Below are 10,952 nucleotides of genomic sequence, written 5' to 3' on the forward strand. Positions count from 1 at the left end.
CTGGTCTAGTGGTAACAAATTCCCTTAGCACTTGCTTGTCTGGCAAATATTTTATTTCTCCTTCACTTATGAAGCTTAGTTTGGTGTGATAAAATGAAATTCTTTGTTGAAATTTATTTTAAGAATGCTGAAAATAGGCCCCTGATCTCTCTTGGCTTGCAAGGTTTCTGCTAAGAAATGTGCTCTTAACTTGATGAGGTTCCTTTTGTACATAATCTGCCCTTTTTTTCTAGCTGCCTTTAAATTTTTTTTTCTTTAGCACTTACCTTGGACAATCTAGTGACTATATGCCTTGGTGTTGATTATTTTGTATGATATCTCACAGATGTTCCCTAGATTTCTTGTATCTAAATATCTACCTCTCTAGCAAGATTAAAGAAGTTTTCTTGAATTATTCCTTCAAATATATTTTCCAGGTTGTTTACTTTTTCTCCTCTCTCAGAAATGCCAATAACTCACAGATTTGGTTGCTTTATGTAATCCCATAATTCTTGAAGACTTTTTTTCTTAAAAATCTTTTTTCTTTATTTTTGATTTTTGTCTGACTTAGTTCAAAAGATTGATGTTCTAACTCTGAAATTTTCTTCTGCTTGGTGTAATCTGTTGATAAGGCTGTCGATGGTATTTTGAAATTCCTTAAGTGAGGGTTTTTTTTTTTTTTTTGAGATAGAGTCTCGCTTTTTTGCCCAGGCTGGAGTGCAGTGGTGCGATCTCGGCTCACTGCAAGCTCTGCCTCCCGGGTTCACGCCATTCTCCTGCCTCAGCCTCCCGAGTAGCTGGGACTACAGATGCCCGCCACCATGCCCAACTAATTTTTTTGTATTTTTAGTAGAGACAGGGTTTCACTGTGTTAGCCAGGACGGTCTTGATCTCCTGACCTCGTGATCCACCTGCCTCGGCCTTCCAAAGTGCTGGGATTACAGGCATGAGCCACCACTCCTGGCCTTAACTGAGTTTTTTAATTCCAGAAGTTCTGATTCATTTTTTTAAAGATGTTTATTCCTTCCTTCATTTCCTGGATTGCTTTAGAAGTTTCTTTGTATTAATTTTCAACCTGATCTTGAATGTCATTGAGCTTCCTTGCAATCTATGCTTTGAATTCTTTATCTGTCATTTCTGAGTTTCCATTTTGGTTAGGAACCATTGCTAGAGAGCTAGAGCAATCCTTTGATCGTGTCACCACATTCTTATTCTTCATGGTGCCAGAATTCTTATGCTCTTTCTTTCCCATCTGGAGATGCTGGTACTTCTAATTTTTGTAATTGTTTTTGTGTGGGTAAGATTTTTTCTTTTTTGTTCTTCCTCTATAATGTTATTATTATATTATTTTTATCTTTCCTTTTCCCTTTTTCCCCATCCCTAGGGGTTGTGACTGTAGAGAAAGCTGGGTAGGGTATTATAGCTTTGCTTCCATAGCCCTATACACTTCTTTTAGCAGGTTTTATATTGCATTGTGGAGTACAATCTACAAGCTTGCAGATGGCACTTACAGGTAAGAGCTGGTGCTGGCCAGTTTGGCTGTGTAAATACTTGATCCTTGTTTAGTGGCAGAAACTCTCTGTTGCTTCAGGCAATAAGATGATTTGTGAAATGTATGGTTGTCTAATCTCCCTACTCAGCCCTGGGGAGGGGGGTACAAGGGGCAGACCTGGACTGGGAAGGTCCATGTACAGATCGTCCAATGTCAGGCATAGACACAAGTGCCAAGGGAGAATCCCATGAGAAGCCACCAAGTGCCTAGAGGCGTGCCTAGATGCGGAGCTAGGAAACCACCTTGGCTCTAAGTTCTCTGCACAGAGAGGTCAGGGATGCCGTAAACTACCAATCCAGAAGAGTGAGTCCTCCATATGCCTGGAGATCTGCCTGAGCATGCAGCAGAGAGAAGACCCCTGCACCAAGATCTCTGGACAGGAGGGCTGGGGTAACTCAGGCTGCTGAACTAGGCAAGCAGGTGCTCTGAATACCTGGAAATCTCCTTGAGCATGTAGCAGAGAGGACCCCACTGCACTAGGAACTCTGCACAGTAAAGATGGGGTGGCTCAGTCTGCTGGTCTAGCTGAGCTGGTGCTCAGAATGCCTGGAGATCTGCCTGGACATGGAGTAGAGAAAACCCCACTGCAACATGGAAATCATTTTTTTTAATTCTCACAACTAACTTACTGAGATAGGTATTTTTATCTCTATGAGGGAAACGAAAAAACTCAGGAACAGAGAGAACAAGTACCTTGCTAAATACACCAATAATAATTAAGCAATACTTCAAAATAGGTATTTCTGACTCTAGAGTTCTTAAGAATATCTTGAATTCTCAAGGCAAATATCATTGGTCTTGATCAATTTTAAATTGTGGTTCACCTGATTTATAACTGATCTGTTTTATTTTTATATAAATTTGATCACAATGGCTTAAAGCCATATAAACATTTGAAGAGATTATGCAGCTGGATTAGTCATTAAGCATTAATTTGGGTTAAAGGATATATATATATATAATATATATATAAAAGTACCAAATATATTAATACCAAATAATATAAATTAATACCAAGATAGGTATACCCTGATTTTATATATATAATAGATATACCCTGATTATATATATATAATAGATATGCCCTGATTTTATATATTATATAATATTATATAATATATAAAATCAGGGCATATCTATTTTGGTATTAATTTCTCTTCTTCTAAGGAAAGTAAATGAAATGTTTAATTATAAAGACGCATTGATTCATTTGTATCCCTGAGCACATTTTACAAGAAACCAATTCTAGTCATTTTAGTCATATCAATTGAAAAATTACTTATAAAGAGTGATAAAGAAGAAAAATATTATCATAAATATATAATATTTTATATTCAAGGTAATATTTTTTGTCTTTTATATTTAATGAGTCCAAAACTGATCTTTATAACTCTTTTCCTATTAAATCACCACCTACTATTGTAGTAAATTTGAATAGGGCAGATTCATCTTAATCTTGAAAATTTTTTAGTTCCTATTAAGCTCCTTCGTTATGAAAAATACTCACTTGGATTCTCTGAGAGGCTGATGAGCTGTTTCTAAAACCATATCTCCTCGAATCTGAGGGTGGAGTCACCTTGAAATTTATATTTGAATTATCCAAATTATTTATAATTTAAGACAAAGCTCAAGCAAGTGAATTTATTAGATTGTCCTCTTCAGTGAGAATCTTGTTTGGAGTTGGATTACGGAAGGAAGCAGCACAGTACCTAACTTCCAAACCTATCACTCTTGGTAAATGCTCAGCTATGAAACCATTACAAGTGAGGATCAGAGGCTTAATGCTTACAAATAAATTTATTCATGATGCCAAGTATTATAGCTAAAGTAATTTACCTCTCAGTACTACATTTCATTAGGAAAAATTAGATGTAAATATATATCTTAGCAGAAAAAAATATAAATATATATCTCACTGGAACAAACAGAAATGGTCATGCTTTTATTCTGAAGTATATTGTGAGTGAAAAAAGCCTAGAGGAAAAGAAAAAAATCTGAATACTTTCTGTGAGAACTCCACTTTATGAGTTTTATATGAATGATAAAATTTAATTGACAGAAATCTTTTATGATCTTCAGTTCACTTTTCAGGGGGACTAACAGCATTTCTGAGTCTCCTGAGTCAAGATCGTGTGAAGTTACATCATTTGGCAGTAAGGAAGCCAACAAGATCAGCAAACCATGTGTCAGCATTTGTCTGCAGGTACTTCTTTGTGTGTGTGCTTACTAAATTATTTATATTTATAATCTCATGTAATCAAAGGGAGACAAATGATTTTGTTCATGTCATAGAGGAAAAAAATTACTTGTTATTTAAAGTGCAAATGTATGTAGTAACTTCTGCCTACTAGGAGGCATGGCACATTTTTATCAATAGAAGTAATAATCTCCTTATTGCTCTATTTCTCTGAATTATCTATTTTAGAATAGTATGCTGCAAATGCAAATGTCTTGTGTAAGTAGGACATTTATGTTCCAGTCGTTGTTTCAGCCATGAAGAAGGAGAGAATTCTGCATTTTGATCAAATCAAGTGCAAAGACACAAACGGTCTTGGGAGAGGAGGTTCAAGTGAGAATCACAAGAGAGCAGGAATTATGAACCTAGGGCGATCACAGGAACCTAGGTCCCTGCAATACATAGAAATCTAATGGGTCTACACAGTATAGGAGGCAGCATGTGTGGGTAGGTATATTCCAATGTTTACTATGTTTGTGCAAGTATAGTATTACAATAAGGTTATGACTCCATTTCTTAATGTTTGTCTGCTAACAACTTTTAAGCTTCTCCTCTTCCTTTTCCTCTTTTTTCCCATATGTGGGCAACCTGATTAGAAAGCCTAATACTTTCTCCTTTGGCACCTGCAGGAAGTTCAAGCCGCATACAGGAATCCTCACCTCAGTCTTCCTCTCTGATTACATAAAAACCCCATGCTAGTCTTTTTTCCCTCCTCTGTCAAACTACTTTTGGATTTGCTTGGAATCTATCTTCCTCAAAAAGCCTCATTATTTGAGTAGTAAACCTTTTCTTTTAATTAATTAATTAATTATTTTTTTTTTTGAGACAGTCTCCCTCTGTCACCCAAGGCTGGAGTGCAGTGGTGCGATCTCAGCTCACTGCAACCTCCGCCTCCCAGTTCAAGCGATTCTCATGCCTCAGCCACCTGAGTAGCTGGGACTACAGGAGTACACCACCATCCTCGGCTAATTTTTGTATTTTTAGTAGAGATGGGGTTTTGCCATATTGGCCTGGCTGGTCTCAAACTCCTGGCCTCAAGTGATCCACCTGCCTTGGCCTCCCAAAGTGCTGGGTTCACAGGTGTGAGACACCACATGATATGGTTTGGCTGTATCCCCATGCCAATCTCATCTTGAATTCCCACATGTTGTGGGAGGGAGCCGGTGAAAGGTAATTGAATCACGGGGGCTGGTCTTTCCCTTGCTGTTCTCATGATAGTGAATAAGTCTCACGAGATCTGATAGTTGTATAAGGGGGTGTTTCCTGCACAAGCTCTCTCTCTTTGCCTGCCACCATTCACATAAGATGTGACTTGTTCCTCCTTGCCTTCCCCCATGATTGTGAGGCCTCCCCAGCCATGTGTAACTGTTAGTCCATTAAACCTTTCTTTTGTAAATTGCCCAGTCTCGGGTATGTCTTAATTAGCAGCGTGGCAATAATACACCACGCCTGGCTAATAAACATTTTCATACTCTCTTGGTGTATCATTCTCAACATTCAAACAAATTTTGGATATAGGTTCATTCCCTTGTGTTACATAAGCATGTAAGTACATTTCAGTATATATGCACAGTTAGATTTTAGATTTAGGTTGAATTTATAGGGAGAACCCTACTATCAGAAAGAGAACTCAAAACTTGTGAAAGGAAATAAGAGATCTGAGTAAATATTTTTCTGAAGTCTGTGTTTAAAATTCACATTGAGTGAATATAGCTAAAAAGTCATTTTGAAAATTAAGGAGCTTCTGAGAAAGAGATAATCACTTTTAAAACAGCATCTAATACATAAGCTTTTCTTTTTCTTTTAAATACCAGTGAGGTTTTAAAATCCTACCCATAGTTACAGAGTACAAAATAGAGTCTCAGGTGACTATGGCAGGCATAGATATAGATTAACATAAGTTCTTGCATTTGTGTGGCTCTAGTCAGAATCAAATCAAGCACAGAAATAGACAGATGAGATAAAACCAAATGTTGATAGAGTCTATACATGAACTTGGCACCGTTAGAGATGGAAAGCCTGAGTATTACTTCTGTCATTTCTGGCACAAGGTAATGAGACTGGTAAGGGCAAAGTATTATGATCAGATGCACTGGATGACATTTAGTCACATGTTGATTAAGAAAAGAGGCATGTGGGTTTTTTGAGGTGTTAGGTGAGAAAATTCAGGGAAGTTATATGTTTAATATATGCCATTCAAGAAAGGAACATGCCAACCATTTTTTTTTTTTTTTTTTTTTTTGAGAGGGAGTCTTGCTCTGTCACCCAGGCTGGAGTGCAGTGGCGTCATCTTGGCTCTGGGTTCATGCCATTCTCCTGCCTCAGCCTCCCCAGCAGCTGGGACTATAGGCGCATGCTGCCACGCCTGGCTAATTTTTTTGTATTTTCAGTAGAGACGGGGTTTCACCATGTTAGCCGGGATGGTCTCGATCTCCTGACCTCGTGATCCACCTGCCTCGGCCTCCCAAAGTGCTAGGATTACAGGCGTGAGCCACCGCGCGCGGCCATTCCAACGATTTTTACGTCATCAGCATCAATGTGGTTTCTTTAGAAAAAATGAAGTTTCGGGCTGGGCATGGTGGCTCATGCCTGTAATCCCAGCACTTTGGGAGGCTGAGATGGATGGATCACCTGAGATCAGGAGTTCAAGACCAGCCTGGCAAACATGGTGAAACCCCATCTCTACTGAAAATACAAAAAATTAGCCAGGTGTGGTTGTGAATGCCTGTAATCCCAGCTACTCAGGAGGCTGAGTCAGGACAATCACTTGAACCTGGGAGGTGGAAGTTGCAGTGAGCCGAGATCACGCCACTGCACTCCAGCCTGGGTAACAAGAGCAAAACTCTGTCAAAAAAAAAAAAAAAAAAAAAGAAAGAGAAAGAAAAGATGAAGTTTCAAAAGTCTATCCAAAGTGGCTTTATTGGGTCATTCTACTTCTAGAGAGGGTTCTGAGGTTGAGGTCCTTGGATACACTATCCAAATTAAATCATGATCTCTTAGAGAAACAATTATTCCTTCTAAAATATAATAAAACCCAGCCAGCTCCCTTAGGAGTTGTTAACATCTCATTGCTATATCAATGTTCAGCAGAAGCACAAGGAAGAATTATATTCAAGAAATTATTCTGACAGATAATAGTTTGAGGTCTTGTTAAAAGTTATTAAGGGTTTTGTCCTCCAAATGATTTTTCCATCACAGTAGGAACAGATACACCAAACAGCCTGAGTAAGAATGAGCGCCGCCATTTGAATTAGCTGAGAACTGGATTGTTAAAACCCAAACAAGGTCATGTGCAGTAACTCACGCCTGTAATCGCAGCACTTTAGGAGGCCAAAGCAGGAGAATCGCTTGAGGCCAAGAGTTTCACACCAGCCAGGGCAACACAGTGAGACCACGTCTCTTAAATATATATATATATTTTATTAGCCGGGCTTGGTGGTGCACACCTGTAGTCCCAACTACTCAGGAGGCTGAGGCAGAGAGTATCTAGAGCCCAGAAGGTGAAGGCTTCAGTGAGCTAGTATCACCCCACTGCACTCCAGCCTGGGCGACAGACCAAAACTCTGTCTCTGGAAAAAATTTTTTTAATTTTAAAATAAAAAATGAAACACAAATAAACAATGTTATAATCAATATTCGATAGAGGCACTGCAAAACACTTTTAAGTGATAAAGTCTTCATTTAATTCAAATTAGGTTGCCTTAAATATTTCTAGTTAACACATTTTTTTCTCCATTTACCCCAAATTTTCATTCCACCATCTCTAAGTGAATGAAGGAAAGGTAATTCTGTTGTGGCACATTTTAGAAATTACACTGTTATTGAAGGTAAGAAATGCAGTAACTTTAGTTATACCAAGAGAAAAGTTATGATTACATGAGAAAGACCAAATGGCTTACAGTCCACTTGCAGAAGCCAGTAGAATGTCAAAACAGAAATGTGTTTCATTGGGAATCTCCTTAAACAAAATCATGAAATAAGGAACAACTCATAATGGATTCTACGAAACAAATTACTTTGAAAGAAGTATTAATATTATATAATTGTGCCTATAACAATATTAGATTAAACAGTAGAAATACACTAGCTGTAGCCACTTTGAAGTTAGAACCTATAGATAATGAGCAGAAACAAAAATCAAGACTGTAGCAAATTGTTTTAAGAGACAAGAGCTAAAGAGTAGAGAAGAGTACTTTGCAAGGGGATAATTAGACTTGTGGGAGTCAGAATCCAATCTTGTTAATGGTATGAGGCTTTTTATTCTTTTCCACAATCAATTATTTAAGCCTATTTCAGGAATTTACACAATGAATGCAGTCAAGGTACAGAGATTTTGGACGACATGAAATTGTCCAGAGATGCACTGAGAGTAATTTAGTCTACACTGGAAAGTTTCCAATGTGTGAGTATTTGTAGAAGCTCTAAAATGGATTATTTTCTTTCAACTAAAGTCTTGGGAAGACTTATACACGTTAGTGACTCTCAGGACTGATAGAGCCTAGCAAATAATCTGGAGACATTTGACACTATATATCCATCAAATATTGGAAAACAAACACAAAAATAACAACTATCTATTAAGCACCTATAATAACCCAAACACTCTGTTAGGTCCTCTCTCTCTCTCTCTCTCCATATATATATATATAATATATATATATAAAATATATATATATATATATAATCTCATTTAATCAAGGAAAGCTTTATAAGCCTTTAAAAAAAATGGGGACTTTGTGACTCTGAGGGCTTAAATAACTTCCTGAGGTCACTCAGTGGATTAGTGGAAGGCTGAAGATTAATACATTGCTCAGATTTTACTCTGTCAGACGCCTCTTTGTAGATTCACATGGATAATATTGAAATTAGCTCTAATAATTCCAGTTTTTCATTCATGTTTGGAGGTCAACTTTATACCATTTCTTGTTTTTTTTCTGGTCACAAGGTACTATGACTTATTAGTGTCTCCTCCAAATTCTTATGTTGAAGCCTTAATTCCCAACGTGGTGGTATTAGAAGGTGGGCCCTTGGGAGGTAATTAGTTTTAGATGAGATCATGAGTTTGGAGATTCTATGATTGGATTAACACCATTATAAGGAGAGGATGAGACTGGATCTCTCTCTCTTCACCATGTAAGGATACAGCAAGAAGATGGACAAGAAGAAAACCAAGTTTTGGTTGGCCATCTAAAAACCAAAAAGAGAGCTCTCACCAGGAATTGAATAGCAGCAGTTTGTCATGGACTTCCTAGCCTTCAGAACTGTGAGAAATAAATTTGTGTTGTTCGAGCCACTCAGTCCATGGTATTTTTGCTGTGGCAACTGAACTGATTAGAACACAAGGCTAAAGCTAAAACTCAGAAATGTGACGGTATGAATCAGGCCATTCTCTGACAGCTTCCATATGATAGGCTGCTTTTATGAACACTTCCTGTATTTGATAATTTGATCTGTAGTGGTTAAAAAATGTCATATGTGGGGTCTAGCTCTGACTTCATCACTAACCACCTGTCTGACCTGTGGTAATTAACCTTCTCTCAATTCCTCTTCAGTCACCTCTAAACCGGTAATAATAATAATAATAGGATCTACTTCATAGGACTGATAGACAATATTAAATGAAATAAAGTGCCTGATGCCTACTGTATGCTCAATTTATGTTCAGCAACTAGAATTATAAATAGCTGATTTCTATGAGCAAAACCAGTATTTCTAAAAATAAGATTCCAAGAGCTTTACAAAGCTGTTCACTTGATTTTTAAAATTGATTACAAATTTTTGTTGCTTAGCATCAGAGAAATCTATAAAGAGTTTATTTATATGGACAAAGAACAACAAAAGACAATTTTCACAAGGCAACATAATAAAATATGTAAAAATTTAAAGCTAATTAATCAAATAAATGCACAATGCGAGATGCCGTTTATTATTTATTAAATTGATCACTCCCAAAATGATGCCACTCAATGATTAAAAGAGTGCAGTAAAGAAAGTAATTTTATACATTGCTGAAAAGGACATTTAGGATAATAAATAATATTTTCCAAAAACTATATAAAAACAATAATTTTTAAATATTAACTCTACATCTGAGAACTCCCACTAAGGAAAAATCAAAAAATGAAAAATCACTATAGATACAGATTTTCATTATAGTATTAGGTAATTGAGTGAAAACTGAGAGCAATCTGATTACCCAACAAGAAAATTGTTTACAATAGTCATGGTGCCATCTTTTCTAGGCATATTATGTACTAATTAAAATTAAGGTTATGAGGATAATGTGGCATCATGGTAAGGATTAGGAAAAAAAAGAGAAAAGTGTGATATAAATTGTGTACAGACTGGTTAAGGTTAAATGAGAAAGAGATGACCAGGAAAAAATGATTACTAGAAAATTCAATATGTTAATAATTGTGTTAGGGTTGTGGAATATATGAACATTATTCTTCTGAAAAATTATAATTTCAATATTAATTATATATTTAAAAAACCAATTTCATTAAAATAGTATGAGTGATTGTGGTAAGAGGTGACTATCTTCAATTCTACATAATATTGGCAATTTTTAGAACAATTTAAAATTTCTGACTTTAGAACATAATTTATAAATTATGGTGGTTTTTATATGAATAATATCAAGAAAAAACAAAAACAAGAACCAAATAGTAAAATTCATCCTAACACACATTTATGCTTATTATTTTTTGAAGTATTTTCAGTCAAATTAATACTTTCTCAATATGAGTCAAATATATGATATAAGACTAATTATATTCATTCAGTAGGTTAAAATGTACTACGATTGATTAATATCTTTAATTTCATATGTACATGGACATTGATAATTTGTTTTCTCAAAGTTTTGGCATAATCTCTTATCTTTCGGGAGTTTCTTTAGAAGGATCAGTCACAATACCAATATTGCTATATTCTTGCTAAAATCTTTTTTAAAAAGTGTAGGGAAAGGTACACAGTCAACCATTACAGCAAGTAGCCAGAGAGGGCTTTGATTAATAGACAGAACTTCTTCACAGTAACAGAAGAAGCTCTGAGACTATGACAACAGAGAAAACAATCTACCCAGTGAAATTTAACATTCACTAAGGCTTATATGCAAGTGCTAGATATGGCAGACAGAAGAAAAGATGAGCAAGAGACAGGTTTTGGTGTCAACCTAAACCT

The 10,952-nt window shown here is 36.3% G+C and overlaps 1 annotated feature.

Annotated features, from left to right (window-relative positions):
• Positions 1,536-1,741: a silencer, noted in NCBI's record as "fragment chr3:152202190-152202395 (GRCh37/hg19 assembly coordinates)". NCBI's record gives its function as "represses an EF-1alpha promoter that drives an FKBP-Casp9 reporter gene in an ReSE screen in HepG2 liver carcinoma cells {active_cell/tissue: HepG2}" and the evidence as "EXISTENCE:reporter gene assay evidence [ECO:0000049][PMID:32094911]".

This window comes from Homo sapiens, chromosome 3 (assembly GCF_000001405.40).
Source record: "Homo sapiens chromosome 3, GRCh38.p14 Primary Assembly".
NCBI classification, from domain to species: Eukaryota; Metazoa; Chordata; class Mammalia; order Primates; family Hominidae; genus Homo; species Homo sapiens.